General features: G+C 34.8%; 1 protein-coding gene across 16 annotated transcripts in view, besides 1 other annotated feature; it reads left to right on the forward strand.

Annotated features, from left to right (window-relative positions):
• Positions 1 to 19911, forward strand: part of USP15 (ubiquitin specific peptidase 15) — a 155986-nt gene that overhangs the window by 6674 nt on the left and 129401 nt on the right. The gene's annotated exons all lie outside the window — the stretch shown is intronic.
• Positions 670 to 719: a silencer, noted in NCBI's record as "silent region_4606". NCBI's record gives its function as "represses an Ori minimal core promoter by ATAC-STARR-seq in GM12878 lymphoblastoid cells {active_cell/tissue: GM12878}" and the evidence as "EXISTENCE:reporter gene assay evidence [ECO:0000049][PMID:35858748]".

A 19911-nucleotide genomic window follows, 5' to 3' on the forward strand; every position in this document is an offset into this window, starting at 1 on the left:
AGTCCTTGTATAGAATTTTTCAACAATTACTAAATACTTTTTTTCTTCCCTGAGTAATGTCAGTCTAGCTTGTTTCTTTTAATTTCCTCACTTACCACTGTAATTCACATTCTGTGTCTCATATTCATTCCTCTGAAGCCACTTCGCCAGACTCGTTCTCCCATTTATCCTTTAAACAGGGGAATGTAGATCCTTTAGATTTTATCACCCAGTTTACACAAAAGTCACTATTCAAGAAATCTAGCATAAGCCTAGTAAGTAGCCTCAGTTTTGGATACAGATTAAAATTATTTGAGGGAAGGGTCAAAAATGGCTCCTTACAAAGAAGGAAATAAGTTCCAATTATAATATAAAACAGAAAACCCCTGTAGGATTAACCTGCATTTGATTATGTCTAGACTGCCTTTACTACTTCCATCACTAAGATTCTACATGGTTTCCTTATAGCTCTCCAAAAAGAAAAGAGTAATGATGCCTTTTTTTCCTCCAAGGAATGGAGAACTAAGAATGCTAACTGTCCCTTCCATTCTCCCTTTAGTTTTGAGAAGACCCAGATATTAGCGTGGTAATTCCCCACCATAAGAGAAAATCATTTAGCAGAAGTACCAGTAGCAAGGACTTCTTTGTGAAGGAAGTCAAAGATCTCACAAAGAAGTTCAAGGGTGGCTCTGAGGCCAGGGTATTCTAAGTTTAGAGCCAGTTAAATCAAGACCTGAGAACATTTAGAGACAAAGTTACTTAACTGAAAAGAGCATCAAGTTCCTTGTTCCAGGTAGAAAACACCTGGTAATCTGGATTGATTTCTGTTATTTACCCATATGTTTTTACAGCTTAACAAAGTTTAACAGGTTAGTCAAGAGATTTGCCTTTGATAAAAAGATGGGAAATTTATATTCATACATTTGAATGGATTTCAAGCTGAAGAACTTTTTAATTCTCAGGAGAGATGTAGCTAAGTATTTATATGTACCACATAGTTGTGGCTATGGTTTACAATAACTTATTACTCATTTACTATGTTAAGAGCATTTTAAAAGTTCTCTAGATACAGGTTCCATATATAATGTAATATATTTATTCCAAATATATTACATATATGAAATACATGGTAGTATTCTCATTTTACCAGTACAGAAACTGGGATAGTTAAATGTATATGGTCATAACACTTAGTCAGTGGTAGAGCAGGAGGTCTAACTTAAAGCTTGCATTTTAAATTCTAAGTGTACTGCCTGCCTATGTGTGATAGAGCCATACCCAGATTATGGAAGCAACTTTTTGAAAGACAAATACTTGAAAGTATTAAAATCAAGAAATGACAGCTTTGTAATACTTGTTAAACACATTTTCATTTGTTATTAATATCAAGAGCCTCTAGAATTTTGTGAGTCTTCTTGTTTTAGCCTTGTAGTCTCAGCAGTCTCATTTCTAATTAACATATCTCTGTTTTGATACAGATAGTGTCTCCCATTTCCTGCAAATTATTTGCTTTTTCCTGCTTTTGGGGCCTTTATGCCCCATTTCTGTTGTTTCAGATACTTCTTAAAAATTACTGACTTTCATTTCAAAACCTAGTTCAAAGTCAGTCTCTAAAACCACCTCTAATCTCATCCAAATTTGTGGCCCCTCCATTCTTTGCTTTTAAAATATATATGTATATATAAAACAGCTTTATTGTGATGCTATTCACATACCTTACAATTTGCCCACTTAAAGTGGACAGTTCACTGGGTTTTAGTATACTCGAAAGAGTTGTGCAGCCATGACCATAATCAATTTTGGAATCCAAAAAGGAACCTCATACCCATTAATAGTCACCTCCCATTTCTCTCCCAAACTCCTCTGTTCTAGGCAGCTACTAATCTATTTTCTGTCTTTATATATTTGCCTATTCTGGATATTTTATATAAATGGAATCGTATAGTATGTGCGATTTTTGCATCTTGCTTCTTTTACTTAGCATACATGTTTTCTAGGTTCATGCATGTTATAGCATATATCAATGTTTATTTTTACTGCTGAATGATACAGTCATGAGTCACTTAATGACAAGGATAACTTCTGAGAAATGTATGGTTAGGCAATTTTGTCGTTGTGTGAACATCTTAAGGGGGTACTTACACAAATCTAGATGGGATTGCCTACTACATACCTAGGATGTATTGCCTATTGCTCCTAGGCAAAAAAAACCTGTACAACATGTTACTGTAGTGCATACTGTAGTCAATTCTAATACAATGGTAAGTATATATATATGTGTGTGTGTATAAATATATATATGTGTGTGTGTGTATATATATATATCTAAACATAGAAAAGGTAGAGTAAAAATACAATATTATGATCTTTTTTGTTTTTAGAGACAGGGTCTGGCTCTGTCACCCAGACTGAAATGCAGTAGCCCAATATTGGCTCACATTGCCCTTGATCTCCTGGGCTCAAGCAATTCCACTGCCTCATCCTCCCAATTAGCTAGGACTACAGGCAAGCACCACTGTGTCTATTTTTTATTTTTATTTTTTTGTAGAAATGAGGATCTTGCTGTGTTGCCCAGGCTGGTCTTGAACTCCTGGCCTCAAGCACTCCTCCCACCTTAGTCTTCCAAAGTGTTGGGATTATAGGCATGAGCCACTGTGTCTAGCCAGACATAATGTGTCTGTTATTGACCTAAATGTTGTTATGTGGTATGTGACCATATTCCATTGTATAGATATAACACATTTGATATATCCATTTATCAATTGATAGACATTTGAATTTCCAATTTTTGCCTATTTTGAATAATCCTGCTATGAACATCCATTACAAGTTTTCATTTCTCGTGTATATACCTGTAAGTGGAATTGCTAGGTCCCTGTTTAACTTTTTAAGGAACTGCTAGACTGTTTTTCTAAGTGGCCGTAATTTTACATTGCCACCAGCAGTGTATGAGGGTTCCAGTTTTTTCACCTCGTCAGCACTTATGTTCTTTTTTTTAATATATAGCCATCTTAGTGGATATGAAGTAGTATCTCATTGTAGTTTTGATTTGCATTTTCTTGATAGGTAATGATGTTGAGTATCTTTTCACCTGCTTATTGGCCATTTGTATGTCTTTTGGATGTCTGTCCAGATTCTTTGCCCATTTAAAAAATTTGGTTATTTTGTCTTTTTATTATTGCATTGTAAAAGTTCTCTAGATACAGGTTCCTTATTAAATAGTTAATTTACAAATTTTTCTCCCATTCTGTGGATTTTCTTTTTACTTTCTTGGTAGTGTCCACTGAAACATGGAAGTTTTTATTTTATTGAAATTCAATTTGCCTGTTTTTTCCTTTGTCACTTTTGCTTTTGGTATCATGTCTAAGAAGGCTTGGCTTAACTCAAGGTCATGAGGATTTACTCATATATTTTCTTTTCCAAGTTTTGTAGTTCTGGCTCTTACATTTAAGTCTGTAATTCAATCGAGTTAATTTTTTGTGTATATGGTCAGGGGAGGAGTTCAATTTCATTCTTTTGCATGTGGTTATCCAGTTGTCCCAAAACTATTTGTCAAAAAGATCATTCTTTTCCCTGTGCAATTATCTTGGTACCCTGCTTGAAAATCAATTGACTGTAAAAGTGAGGGTTTATTTCTAGATTCTATATTTGATTGACATATACCAGTACCAGATTATAACTGTGTAGACAGTTTTAAAATCTGGAACTGTGTCCTCCAACAACTTTTCAAGTTTGTTTTGGCCCTCTTCTCTTATTAGTTTACACTATGTTGAAATGTTGTTTTGTAAATATTCTTAAATATGTGTATTTCATTACTCCGTATAAATGACACACTCATCTTTTTGCAGCCTGTCTTCTTACCTTCTCTCATTCGAAATCTACCCCATCTCTTTATTTCTTAGAGGTATGTGGTATAGTAGTATTTGCAGTGAATGTTTTGTGTCATTTAACCCATGGATCTCTCTTCCACTCCTAATCTCATGCCCCAAAAGCACAAACAATGCGCTGTCTTAAGAACATAGATAAGTGTGCTAATTATCAAAAACACATTTACAGTACCTGGAAAATGTAAGACAACACCCTCAGCAGATGAAAATGACCTGGCATCCTAAAAGGAGGCTAAACTCACATTAATCCTTCAAATGAAAAAATCGTCACATCATACCCTTTAAATAATGCTTTAAAACATTCAAAATTATTTATGAATAATTATTTATGAGTCTTTGTGGAAATGCAGTTATGCAAGAAAAGTATAAAAATATTCATGGAATGATAAATGCTAAATCAGAGTAAGGGTATTCCAAGAGAGGGGCCCACAAGGGGCTATATTAATATTTATGATAATTTTCTTTAGGTGCTTGTTTTGATGGTATGTATATAGATGCTCGTTATTATTCGAAGTTTAATGTATGCCTTTATATGATACAAAATACTTTTAAAAAGCGAAGTTGATTGTAAGAGCTTTTTATTTTGAGGAAGTCCCAATTTTTCTTAGTTTTTTCTGTTTATTATTTTTATATTGTTAATACCAAACCTAATTCTCCCGGTGTAGAAAAGTTACACAGAGCTGAGAGAATTTATGTAGAGTCAAGCATTATTAATTATCATTTCCTTCTTGCTTCATATATGCTTATCACGCTTATATGTCACATATGGTTACAAGATATCTTTAGTATGGAGAGACATACACATTTAAGATATTAATGGTCATGTATGTGTATTCTGGATGAATAGTTTAAAAACAATCTTACTTGGCCTCCTTGAGTTTCTTATTTGTCTTAGTTTAGATCTAAAAAGAGATCATAAAAATTATTTATTGCTAGGTGATGGATTTAATGTGTGGAGAAGAAAATAGGTTAGAAGTGCATGGAATCTAAAAATTAAGCTATAAAGAGATGGTAAACTATTCCATTGGTTTATTTGAGTGAATTTCATAGTTTTATTTGTTTCAGTTTTACTGAAACCATGAAATTCTGAGTCTTAGTTTGTGGTACTTAAAAAAAAAGTCAGTGAAATATCTGATTTATAATAATTTAAAATACTAGATGCTGCCAGTATCTCCTTAGTGTTGAAAATTGTTTTATGCTATCACTACTCAAATATAATTTAAGCATTTTGTTAAATAAGAGAATTAGTCATAAGAGTGAATTAGTATCCAGAATTGTTTATGCCATTCTGCACAAGATGATTATAAATATTTTTCTGAGATTAAGTGTGCTACATTGGATTAGGCTGAGATTTTTGTGTATTTTTTTACTTATAAAAGGACTGCCTATGCCTACTCTGTAAAGAGGCAGATAGGATTTCAAAAAATAAACAAGGTTATATTTATTTTAATATTAGGCAATTAAGCAGGAACATTTATCTGAAAATTGTCAGCATAAACATGTACAAATCAATAACAACAAAAAAACTGCTTTACTACCTCTCTGGTTTCCTAAATCCTGCTGTTGGAATTTCCACATATTCCTTTTATACTCTGTTGTATCTGGAACTATTTCTTAATCATTTGTTGGTCCTTGTATATCTTTCTTAAATTTGCATCTAGTGTAAAAGCACCAAACAACTTTTGATATTCTCTTTCTCCCTGCCAACTCCAAAACCTTTTACATTCATATAGTAGCTTTACTGCATTTGAACAGTGTCTTAAAATTGACTCTGAAGCCCCAGTTTCTCCAGAGCCATTGAAAATTATTCTATCCACACCATAATACAAATTATTTATCATAATGCCTTCAGAATATTTAGCACCATACAATTTAGATCATTTTGAGGTATTCATGTTAATATAACTTTATGTAAGTTTTTGACGTAGTATTTCACATGTATTTGATCGTTCCAGTAATCTTGTGAGGTAGTCCCAGTGGTCTTCATGAAATGTAAATCAAATCATATCTCTTTACAGTTAAAAATCTTTCAGTGGTTTTCAGATTACTTGAGATGAAATCCTTGTCATTGCATTAAAGGCACTATTTAGTTCGGTCTCAGTCTAACTCTTTAGTCTCATCTACCATTTCTCCCCCACCTTGTCATAAACTCCAACTTTATTTAGTCATTCCTTCAACACTCAAAATTCCCAAAGTCCTTCTGGCCTTAGCATGTCATCCTCATTCAGTTTAGATACTTTTTCTTACCACTTTTCTTGGAGTAACTCTTATTCAGAGGCTAAAACATTTTTTCAGAGAGATTTTCATTTATTCTATATAGGGCCCTCATTATATGCTTTCATAGCTCCCTGTACGTTTACTTCACAGCACTTAACAATATTTTATTATGTACCTTGATTGCTTACTTTTCCTCTCTCCTCCACTGGACTCTTGAACAAAGGGACCTTGGCTGTTTTGCCAACCACTTTATTCATATGAAGTATTTTTTGAATGAATGAATTCCCATTTCTAAGATGGACAGTCGAAGGGTTTTATTGCTGAGTAACTTTTCTAAGACTTCATAGCAAGTAGTGTCAAAAATAGAAGTTTGGTGTGGTGCTTTTTCTATAGTAAATTTAGAATTTATATCTACTCAAGTCTGATTTCAGGAGATAAGAATATATATAAACAAAAATAATCATGAAAACAAATTGAGATTGGTATGACAAATTCATCCACAGTTTAGTGTTTGCTACATTTCTAGGAAACTTCTTCAGAGAATGGTAGTGTTTTTGTGTGTGTGTGATCTTTATTGATGTGAAAACATGAATCTCTTATAGGCATGCGTGTGAACATTTGGGCTCTTATTCTACGAAGTTTCTGATAGTCAAAGCTCTAACCCTAAAGATACTCACTTTGAAAATACTCATTTTCTCAATAAGTAAAGTGGATTGTTAGAAATTGTTGGAATTTATCTTCTAAATAAGCCTTCCAGTTCTATTTATAGCTTGGTGATAATGTTATCATATCCTCTGCTATCTCACTTTTAAAAGTGAACTTATTGTTTCATAAAGAGGGAGTGTGGTATATGATTTTACTAGGCATCTGTTACATTTCTAGGTCTTTGTTAAATAAATGGAATTTAAAGTTTGGTGTAATGAAAAGAACACTGAACTTTAGAGTCTGAAAACTAGAGTGCGGGACTTTGTGTACCCACCGAGTAGTGTTACATGACCTTGATAAGTTATATAACCTCTCTGAGTTTTGGCTTTTCCTTCTGTTAAAAAGGAGGCTGGGCACAGTGGTTCACACCTGTAATCCCAACACTTTGAGAGGCCCTGGCAGGAGGATCACTTGAGGCGAGCAGTTCAAAACCAGCCTGGGGAACATAGGATTTCAAAAAATAAACAAGGTTATATTTATTTTAATATTAGGCAATTAAGCAGGAACATTTATCTGAAAATTGTCAGCATAAACATGTACAAATCAGCAACAACAAAAAAAAAAAACGGTGCATTTACTACCTCTCTGGTTTCCTCAAATTAGACCTGTCCCTACAAAAAATTTTTAAAAATTAACCGGGTGTGGTGGTGCTGTCTGTCGTCCCAGCTACTTGGAAGGCTGAGGCAAGAGAATCACTTGAGCTCAGGTGTTTGAGGTTACAGTGAGCTATGATCACAACACTGCATTCCAGCCTGTGCAAGAGTAAGACCACCTCAAACAAACAAACAGATAAATAAATGAAGATAAATAAAAGGTTGCTCTACCCTGTCTCAAAGGAAGGAGGGAAGGGAGGGAAGAAAAAGGTTGCTCTACCATCAACTAATATAAAAACACTTTGTACGAAAACCTTATATAAACATTAAACATTTATATTATGCAGATACTAAGATTTTAAACAGAAGTGAGATGATCACGTTTGTGGTTTTAAAATGTTTGGCAGCAGAGTGGAGGACAGCTTGGAAGCAAGCAAAACTTAAAGTAGTTGGACAAATCAAGCAGCTATCATAGTAATCTATGCCACTAAAAATAGTGTGGAAGGGGAGCTGCAGAACTAAAGTACTTTTCTGAGGATGAAGAGGCGAGGGGCAGACTCTTAGAAATATTCTGGAGGTGCTTGGTTAATGGATGTTATGGAGCGGGGAATATAGGTTAATATTCTGGTTTGTGGCTTGGGAAATTAAATTACTGATGAAGTCACTTGTTAAAGTAATAGTAGAGAATGGGTAAATGGAGAGAGAGAGGATTGACTCAAGGTTGAGATGTCTGGAAAATCCAAGTTGACATGGACTAATAGGAATTGGAAATACGATTCAAGAACTTGAGGACTAGCTCTGAGATGCAGATTTTGGAATTATTGATATGAATTATAGGAGAATATAAACAGTGAAAGAAGAAATCAAAGAGCAGGGCTATGTAATACATTTAAGCAAAAGAGAAGGTTGTAAAAAAAATTGGGAGGAGTATCACCCCCCCACCCAAAAAAAAAAAAGAATTACAGAGGCTAATTTTTAGAGGGATTAATAGATATATAAAATTATGAATCCGTTGGATTTGTTAAGGTGGTCATTGGTGATTTGTGAGGGCCCATTAGACTAGGAAGACCTGTAAGTGAAAGTTGAGGAAATGGAAACTTGAGAAGCTTGACTGTAAGGACAAGTCATAAAATGAGAATAGATGAGAAAATACGAGAGTTGAGAGGTGATATGAGGGGAGAGGAGGAAAAGACTTAATCCCTGTTGAAATGCTGGTAGGAAAAGGTCTCCAAGGAAGCAGAAGGAAATTAGATCCACAGCATAGGAGCAAAAATTATTGGCCTGGGATTTGAGGAAGATTACTTCCTCTACTGATACGTAAGGGAATCAGGTAAGATTCAGGTGTGATGCAGTAGAGTTGGACAGGCTTCTGACTGCTTTGTAAGGTAGGTAGCAAGGTTGTTCAACCTAATGGGTTAGAGACTAGGTAAGACTGCCAAAGGTTTGAAATAATTATTGAGGATATAGAAGGGTATGCTATGGACATGGTGGAAGATTACAGGTCATCTTTGAAGGACTTGAGAGATTGAAAACCATAGGTCTTCAGTCTCTATATCATTTTCTTTAGTAACTATGAACCCAGATAATATTAACATTATGATAAAAATAATTTCAGATTGATGTATGTAAGAATCGTGTGTAATGACCAGGTATGAGGCACCCTCATAAAATTCCTTGTAATCCTCTGAAACAGGAAGATTATAGTGATTAAGCCATAGATCTTTTAGATTATACATTGGTACATTTACTTCATAACTTCTTTACAGGAACACAGTCAAATGTCTTAGTATTCAGAAATACTTCACCTTTGGTTTCATTTATAAAGCATTGACTCCTTTGTATAAGAAATTTAGCCTGTTCATCACAAAACAATTTAATTACTACTCTGGGCTGCTCAAGATGGTTTGTACATTAGTATTTAGATGAATTTTAGATGGTTGCAGGTCTGTAGTTAGTATAATATTTGGTACCAAAATTTGATCAGCTTCAAATCAGTAAATATGTCAGTTTTGGAATTGTTTGTTTTGCTTATATTATCTTCCAAGATATAAAGGGTAATAATCTGTCCTTTATGTGCTTTTCCTTTTATATGAGATATCACTCATATAAAATCATATATGAGATAACACTCATTATTTTTCTGGCTTATTCACTGGTTGCTCTAGTTACCAAAAGGAAGTATTTTCTCAGGAATGAATACACTACCGTATATCAGAATCACATTTTGATAAATTTAGAAATGATTGCAAATGAATTGTGCTTTTCCAAGTCTTGAAGAAAATTCTTCAAGACTTACGTAAATTTTTAATTAAAATCTAATGCAAATTCACCTGTTTAGAAAAAGTACAACTATAAAAAATAAATACAAAAGATCATATAAAGTTATGAATTTTTTCAGAAATAAAAAGTAATGAATAAAAACTGTGCCTTTTATGCATTTTGCTGTGTATATTTTGTCCCAATTTTTAAATGTGTTTGTAATTAGTTTTCTTATTTTTATGCATAAAATTTCCATTGTTGACTGTCACTGAACACTATCACTTTTGCTAGCCTCAATATTATTCTTAGTCTATTTGACTGTACTTCATTCTGTGTGCATATATGTGAAGATGTATCTATACATAACTTCTGTGTTAAACAAAAGACGTTTACTCTTGCTGTTAAAACTTTCTGGCAGATTTTGGATAACCCTCCTTGCACCACTTGATAATAACTCACAAGCTGCAACTCTTCTGAATTCCACTTCCACAAGCAGACAATCTTTTTTAAGATAAAATGTCATGTTTATTATGGTATTTATATATTTCCTAACCATTCAACACATGTAAAGCTGTGCTACTGTTTTTATTATCTTCTTTAAAACATGTCACTGACAGTGCTTCAGCAAGAGAAGGAAGGGGATGGTATTAGGGAAGCATGCAAACCTGTACAGCATGTTACCATACTGAATAGTGTAGGCAGTTTTAATATAATGTTAAGTATTTGTGTTTCTAAATATAGAAAAAGAACAGTAAAAATGGCATATAAAAGATTTTTTTAAATGGTACACTTATTTAGAACACTTACCATGAATGGAGTTTGCAGGGCTGGACGTTGCTCTGGGTGAGTCAGTGAGTTAGTAGAGAGTGAATGTGAAGGCCTAGGGCAGGGTTGTCCCATCTTTTGGCTTCCCTGGGCCAAATCAGAAGAAGAATTATTGTCTTGGACCACATGTAAAATACACTAACGCTAAAAATAGATGATAAGCGAAAAAAAAAATCACAAAAAAATCTCATAATGTTTTAAGAAAGTTTACGAATTTGTATTGGGCTGCATTCAAAGGTGTCCTGGGCCACCTGTGGGCCTCAGGTTGGACAAGCTTGGCCTAGTGCATTAATGTACACTGCTGTAATCTTTATAAACACCATACACTTAGGCTACACTAAGTTAATTTAAAAATATTTTCTTCAATAATAAAATTAACTTTAGCTTACTGTAACATTTTTACGTTATAAACCTTAAAAATGTTTTAAATGTTTTTGACTCGTTTGTTATAACACTTGGTTTAAAACACCAATACATTATACAGCTGTACAAAAATATTTTCTTCATATCCTTATTCTATAAGCTTTTTTCTATTTCTAAATTTTTTCTAATTAAAAAGTTTTTTTGCCGTAAACTAAGAGACAAACACACATTAACCTAGGCCTGCACAGTCAGGGTGATCAGTATCACTGTCTTCTGCCTCCATATCTTGTCCCATTGGAAGGTCTTCATGGGCAGTAATATTCATGGAGCTGTCATCTCCTGTGATATCAGTGCCTTCATCTGGAATACTTCCTGAAGGACCTGCCTGAGGCTGTTCTACAGCTAACTTTTTTTTATATATAAGTAGAAGGAGCACACTCTAAAATAACGATTATAGTAACAAAGTATAGTAAATACATAAACTCATAACAGTTGTTTATTATTGTCAAGTATTATATGCTGTACATAATTATATGTGCTATACTGTTGTAAGATTGGCAGCACAGTAGGTCTGTTTACACCAGCATCACCGTAAACATGTGAGTAATGAGTTATGCTACAACATCACAATGGCTACATCATTAAGCAAAAGGGCTTTTTTAGGTACATTATGGTGTATGGGACCACCATCATATATGTAGTTTGTCATTGGCAAGAAAGTCATTATGCAGTGCATGACTGTATACAGATGGTCCTCAACTTAATGATGGAGTTACAGCCTGCTAAACTCATTAGAAATTGAAAATATTGTAAGTAAAAAATCCATTTAATATGCCTAACGTACCATACAATATAGGTTAGACTAGCCTACCTTAAACATGCTTAGAACACTTAAATTAATCTACAGTTGGGCAAAACCAGCTAACAGAAAATCTGTTTTATAATAAAGCATTGACTACTGTACTGAAAATGAAAAACAGAATCATCGTATGGATATTAGAAATATGGTTTCTGCTGAATGCTTATCAGTTTCACACCATTATAAAGTCCAAAAATCTTAAGTCACACCGTAAGTTGAACTGTCTATATCAACTTTTTTCATTGTAGTAAGAATACTTAACATGAGCGCTGCCCTCTTAATTTTTTTCTGTACAATATAATATTGTTAACTATAGGCACAATATTGTACAATAGACTTACTCATTTTGCATAACTGAAACTTTATACCCACTGAATATCATCACCTCCTTATTTCTTCCTTTCCCCAGCCCCTGGCAGTCACCATTTTACTCTGTTTCTATGACTATGATGTTTTAGATACCTCATAAGTGGAATCATGCAGGATTTGTCTTTCTGTGACTCATTTACTTCATTTAGCATAGTGACCTTCAGGTTCATCCATGTTGCTGCATATGGCAGGATTTTCTTTTTTCAGGCTAAATAGTACTCCATTTTTCTTTATTCTTTCATCCATCAAAAGACATTAAGGTTGTTTCCGCATCTTGGCTATTGTGAATAATGCTGCAGTAAACATGATAGTACATATATCTTCAGGACTCTGATTTTAATCCTTTTGGATATGTACCCAAAAGTAGGATTGCTGGATCATATGGTCATTCTATTTTTAATTTTTTGAGGAACCTTCATACCATTTTCCATAGCCAGTGCACCATATTATATAGTCTACAAGAGTTCCAATTTCTCCACATCCTCACCAACAGTTACCTTTTGTTTTTTTCAATAATAGCCATCCTAACACGTGTGAGGTGATATCTCATTGTGGTTTTGATTTGCCTAATTAAGTGTTGTAACACCTTGAAATTTTCAAAAACAAGCATTAGAAAAGAACCGACTGCATGTATAATAAGATAGAGCTGTAATTGATTTTTTCCTTTATGCATGATCTGTTGTGCCAGTACCTTTTATAGAATAGTCCATCTTTGCCTATTAGTTTGTAATGATGCTTTTGACATATGTCTTCATATATATGTGAGTCTGGCTCTTATTTCTTTCCACTGTTTTCATTGGTCTTTTTACTTCTCTCTATGCCAATATCACATTTTCTTAATCACAGCTTTGACACTTTGTAACCTTGGGCAAGTTAATTTCTGTGTGTATATATACTCCATCTGAAATTAAGATAATAGTACCTACTTCATTGGGTAAATGAAAATATATGAATGTGCTTAGAAGTATGCACATGGCTCAAGAGTAAAACTCAAATATTAGTGATTTTGTTATTAAACTTAATAAAGGTAATAATTAACCTTAATATGTTAATAATTAATAATAAATTAAGCTTAATAAAGAGGCTTAGTAATGAGGAAACTGAGATTTCCACTTTGTTTTTCTTCCAGACTTTCTGGGGAAGTGGGGAGAGGGTTATGGAGGGATTCCCTGAAGCAGTGACATTTAGGCAGATATGTGAAAGATTATAGTTGTTAACTATGTGTCTTAGCCCCTTCAGGCTGCTATAACAAAGTACCTGTAAGTGGCTTAAAAACAGCAAATTTATTTGTCACTGTTCTGGAGGCTGGTAAGTCCAAGATGACTAGGTACTGGCAGGTTCTGTGTCTGGTGAGGAGGACACAGCATACTTTCTGGTTCATAGATGGAACCTTCTAGCTATAGTGGAAGGGATGAGGTGTCTCTCTGGGAGCCTCTTTTATAAAGGCATAAATTCCATTCGTGAGGACTCTGCCCTTATGATCTAATCACCTCCTAATTCCCTATCCTTGGGGGTTAGGATTTTAACATTAATTCTGGGGGAGGAGACACACGCATTCAGACCATAGCTCTACATGTTGAAAAGAATAAGGGAATTTTCTAGGTAGAAGGGGTTATGAGGCAGAAAATGGTGTGTCAAGGAAATGAAAGAAGGCTCTTGCAGCTGGATCTGGGCACAAAGAAAAATGGTACCAGCTGAGTCTAAAGAGGTAGCTAGGGATTAGATCATGCAAGACCTTTTAGACAATGTTAAGCATTTTAGACTTCATCCTACATAGTTATAACTATTTGTATTGGTTGATATCCTAATGACTTTAAGTCCATAAAAGAAACTCAAAGTGAAAATTGGGCTTATCTGGACCCTAATAGTATATAAGGATTAAGAATACCATTGAGAATATATGAATTCAGGTCTTTGTTCATTGTTTGTAGTCTTTGTAATCTGTTGATTCCGTTCTAGTATTTTATCAGTTCAGATTGAACATTGGGAATTTTGGCAGATTTCATAGATGTAGAAGTATAGTTTTTACAGTGCAACAGATCTATATAAATGTATTGAAATAAAATCTTTTCATTTATTTGTCTGTGTCATCTAATCTTACCTTTCTTAGTCTTCTTTCTTGTCTACGTCTTCTAATCTCATCTTTCTAATATATACCTAACAACACTATACATTGTTTCTGGAGTAGATTCTCCTATTTTTCTTTTTCTGTTTGCTTTTTGAGACAGAATCTTGCTCTATTGCCCAGGCTGGAGTGCAGTGGCATGCTCTCAGCTCAGTGCAACCTCCACCTCCTGGGTTCAAGCAATTCTTGTGCCTCAGCCTCCTGAGTAGCTGGGGTTACAAAAGTATGCGCCACCACACTTGACTAATTTTTGTATTTTTAGTGGAGACGGGGTTTCAACATGTGGGCCAGGCTGGTCTTGAACTCCTGGCCTCAAGTGATCCAGCCATCTTGGCCTCCCACAGTGCTGGGATTACAGGCGTGAGCCACAGCACCTGGCCAGATTCTCCTATTTTTCTACTTTCCTGATGTTTCATTACCATAAAATTGTGTAGATAGCCCTAAGAGAAATATGGTGCCCTTTTTCAATTGAAGATAGTATTGAAAGCAATTAAATATCATCAAATGGGAAAGTCTCCTATCATAATAGTATCATTGTACAGAAAGAAGTCACTACAAGATCTAGGAAAGATAGTTGATACAGAAATATATGACAATAGACAGTTGACATAGAAATGTATGACATTATAGAAGGTTTACCAAGTATATACTTTTAGTACCGCAGTCCCTTTTTATCTGCAGAGTATAAGTTCCAAGACCCTCAGTGGATGCCTGAACCTGCAAATAGTAGCAAACCTTATATACACTGCTTTTTCCTATGCTTACATATAATAAAGTTTAATTTATAGGCCAGGCACACTGGCTCATGTCTGTAATCCCAGCACTTTCGGAGGCCAAAGTGGGAGGGCACCTTGAGCCCAGGAGCTTGAAACCATCCTGGGCAACGTAGTGATATCTCATCTCTACAAAAAATAAACAAAATTAGCTGAGTTTGTGGCACATGCCTGTAGTCCCAGCTACTCAGGAGACTGAGGTGGGAAGATCACTTGAGCCAGGGAGGTTGAGACTACAGTGAGCTGTGATCATGCCCCACTGCACTCCAGCCTGGGTGACAGAGCAAGACCCTGTCTCCAAAAAAAAATAAATAAATAAGTTTAACTTATAAATTAGCCACAGGAAGATTAACAGCAACAATTAATAATAAAATAGGACAGTTATGACAATATTCTGTAAAAGTTATGTGGATGTGGTTTCTCAAAATACCTTACTGTACTGTACTTACCCTTTTTGTAATAGTGTGAGATGATAAAATGCATAGGTGATGAGATGACATGAGGTAAATGACATAGGCATTGTGATGTAAATGGAAGATTTCAGAAATAATTTATAGGTTTTAAATTACATGTGTGCTGCATAGCATGATGAAATACTGTGCCATTCCACCCAAACTGCCTTCAAGCCCTCTTGGTTATCAGGTTGACTGTTGCAGTATCACAATCCTTATGTTCAAGTATCCCTTATTTTATTTAATAATGACCCAAAATGCAAGAGTAGTGAGAGTACCACAGTTGACAGTTAACCCGCAGAAAGTGAAACTGCAGATAAAAGGAGGCTACTGTATAACTGTAAAGGATTTATTAAGTACTTTGGGAGATAAAACTCTATATCTTAAAAATGTCTAAGTAACTATAAATAGAATTTCTATACTTTTCCACAAATTGTTTTTAATGTGTTTTATAAATGATATTTGTAACTGTAGTATTAATGTTATCTCAAGTCCATATTCTATTTTTAATGGATATGGCATTAGCTTTTTAAGAAAACTAACGGGAAATTTTGCATTTCCATTTTAAAGGGAAAAATCAGTAACTAAGAAAAATTAACTGAAGATCAGAGTCTACCCTCCCAAATGATACTATACTCCCCAGTAGTTTTTCATACAAGTAAATCATTAAGGGGCAGATAACCCGTTACAAACTACTTTTGTAGATAGTAGAAGAGTAAAAGCTATTCCAGGTTTGTTCAGAAGAGTACAGGAGAAAAAGCTTGGCAAGTGCAGAAAATTTTCATCACCTTTAACACTTAGTCATGATAGTCTAAACAAATGTTGAATAGAAAGGAACTTCTCTAAGTTCATAAGCAGTATTTATCAAAAACCTACAGCAAGCTAATAAGCAGCATTTATCAAAAATCTACCTAGTGGTGAAACTTTAAATGTTGTCATAAAAAAAAAGACAAAAATGTTTGCTGTCTCTTCACCTATATTTTAGGAGCCCTAGCCAAGAAAAATAGGCAATAGACAAGAACAATAGGAATACAATTAGAAAGGAATGATTAAACACATTATTTGCAGCAACAGTATGAGTTTTTACATAGAAAAATCTAAGGGAACCTACAACCAGGTAAAACTACTAAGAGTTCAGGATGCTGGTGGATATCAGATTAATCACTTAAAAAAATTAGGCTGAGCACAGTGGTTCATGCTTGTTATCCTAGCACTTTGAGAGGCCGAGGCAGGCGGATCACTTGAGGCCAGGAGTTTGAGACCAGCCTGGCTAAGATGGCAAAACCCGGTCTTTACTAAAAATAGAAAAATTAGCTGGGCATGGTGGCACAAGCCATAATCCCAGCTACTCTGGAGGCTGAGGCACGAGAATTGCTTGAACCTGGGAAGTGGAGGTTGCAGTAAGCCAAGATCGTGCCACCACACTCCAGCCTGGGCAGCAGAGCGAGACCCTATCTCCAAAAAACAAACAACAAATATTATTTCTATGCATCAACTACAAGCAGTTATAGAATTTAATTAATTGGGGAAAAAATGTAAAATTCACATAGAAAAACTGAGGTTTCTAGGAACGAATTTAGCAAAACATGATTTTTATTGGAAAAACATATAAAATTTATTGAAAGACATTAACCTGAATAATGGAGAGATACGCCGTGGCTGTGGATAAGAAGACTCACTTTGGTAAAGATGGCAGTGTCCCTCAACTTTGTAAGTGTAATGTACTTCCAATCAAAATCTTATTAGACTTTTTTGTGGAACTTTGCGAAGAAAGCAAGTCGAATGTCTGAGTATAAGTAAAGTCATTGCTAGTCTAGTCAATATTTATTTTAGAAAATAGGATTTTCTTAAGACTTAGTCCCTCAATTCTTTTCTCACAAATCTTAAATTCCACAATGTGTGGGGGCTTTCAATTGCATAATCTTGACAGTGAGTTCAGAATACTGGTACATAGATAATTCTGCATATCCACTTTTAGGGAGTTAAACTCATGAATATTCTTTAAGAAATCTGAGGTTTTGTTAGGTTAGTGCCTTTGCTTTAGCTATTTTCGGACGTAACTGTGGGTTTTTGTTCTTATAGTGCTATATATGGTAAGCATAGAAAAGAAACACTAGAATGGATAATCTTCTAAAAAGCTTTGTTACCTGTAGTATTACACACATGAGCTTTAAATCTCTCATTAACCTTTATCTTTACCTTTGATTCTGCTTGTGATTGAACCTGGTTAAATGTGGGAGAAATGTTTCTAGAAAAATTTAAAATCATTGTGAACCAATGACAAAGCAGTATTTTATAGCAGGCATACTGTAGTCAGAATAAATTTTTACAATGTTTTAGGTTTTTTTTTAATGCTTTCTATCCTAGTGAACTCTTGTTTTACTTTTTCTGTCATTGGTCATCTGATGAGAAGCTAGTTTCTAGGCAGCTGAAAATAAGATGGATATAGTTTCAGTAATGTTTACAGTGTTAGCTGTATCACACTTTTGAAATCATTCAAAAACCAATCCTGCTTGCCCCATATTTTACTACTATAGGAGGAACAGTCAGAGATAGTATTGTTGTTATTAACTTCTGTTGGTAAAGAAGCTTAATTAAGGTTTTAAGAGTTGATTATACTTTCTATTAATATTTTTATAGATTTAGGGACTACAAATGCAGTTTTGTTACATGGATGAACTGCATAATGGTGAAGTAAGGGCTTCTAATGTAGCCATCAGCTGAATAGTGTATATTGTACTCATTTAATAATTTATCATCCCTCTCCTGCCTCCCACCCTTCTGAGTCTCCAATGTCTGTTATTCACGCTCTATGTGTATACATGATTTAGCTCCCACTTATAAGTGATAACATGCAGTATTTGATTTTGTATTTCTGAATTATTTCCCCTAAGATAATGGCCTCCAGTTCCATCCATGTTGCTGCAAAAAACATGGCTTCCTTCTTTTTTATGGCTAAGTAGTATTCCATGGTGTTTGTGTCTTTGTGTTTGTGTATGTGTGTGTGTACATGAGTGTGCCACATTGTCTTTATCCAGTCATCCATTTATGGACACTTAAAGTGTTTCCTAAGATAATGGCCTCCACTTCCATCCATGGTGCTGCAAAAAACATGGTTTTATTCTTTTTTATGGCTGAGTAGTATTCCATGGTGTGTGTGTGTGTATCCATATATGCTACATTGCCTTTATCCAATCATCCACTGATGGACACTTAGGTTGTTTCCATATCTTCACTATTGTGAATAGTGCTGTGATAAACATACAAGTGCAGGTGTCTTTTTGATAGAATGATTTCATTTCCTTTGGGTATATACCTAGTAGTGGAATTACTAGATCCAGTGATAGTTCTATTTTTAGTTTTTTGAGAAATCTCCATACTGTTTTCCATAAAGGTTGTACTAATTTCCATTCCCTCCATTCCCACCATTCCTTTTCTTCTGCATCCTTGCCAACATCTGTTATCTTTTGAGCTTCTAATAATAGCCATTCTGACTGGTATGGATGCTTTTTCACTGTGGTTTTACTTGTATTTATCTGATAATTAGTGATGTGGAATTTTTTTTCATATGTTGACCATTCATATGTGTTAGTTTGAAATTTTTCTGTTTAGAGTAAACAGACAATCTACAAAATGGGAGAAAATATTTTCAAACTATGCATACAACAAAAGACTAATATCTGGACTCTATAAGGAACTTAATAAGAAAAAAAACGCCCATTAAAAAGTGGACAAAGAACATGAAGAGAATTCTCCAAAGAACACATACAGACAGCCAGCAAATGTATGAAAAAATGCACAAAATCACTAATAATCAGAGAAATACAAATCAAAACCACAGTAAGATACCATCTCACACCAGTTGAAATGGCTATTATTAAAAAGTTAACAGATTTTAGCAAGATTGCAGAGAAAAGGGAATGTTTAATATGTTATTGGTGAGAATGCAAATTAGTTCAGCCCCTGTGGAAAGAAAGCAGTTTGGAGATTTCTCAAAGAACTAAAAATAGAAATACCATTCGCTCAGCAGTCCCATTACTAGAAAATAAATCATTCTACCAAAAAGACACTTACACTCATATGTTTATCACAGTACTGTTCACAATAGTAAAGACATGGAATCAACCCAGGTGCCCATCATTGATGGATTGGATAAAGAAAATGTGATACATGGCCGGGCGTGGTGGCTCATGCCTGTAATCCCAGCACTTTGGGAGGCTGAGGTGGGCGGGTCACCTGAGGTCAGGAGTTCGAGACCAGCCTGACCAACATGGTAAAACCCCGTCTCTATTAAAAATACAAAATTAGCCAGGCGAGGTGGCGCATGCCTGTAATCCCGGCTACTCGGAAGGCTGAGGCAGGGGAATCGCTTGAACCCGGGAGGTGGAAGTTGCGGTGAGCTGAGATCGCACCATTGCACTCCAGCCTGGGCAACAAGAGCGAAACTCTGTCTCAAAAAAAAAAAAAAAGTGATACATATATACCATGCAATACTGTGCAGCTAT

Source organism: Homo sapiens, chromosome 12 (assembly GCF_000001405.40).
Source record: "Homo sapiens chromosome 12, GRCh38.p14 Primary Assembly".
Lineage (NCBI taxonomy): Eukaryota > Metazoa > Chordata > Mammalia > Primates > Hominidae > Homo > Homo sapiens.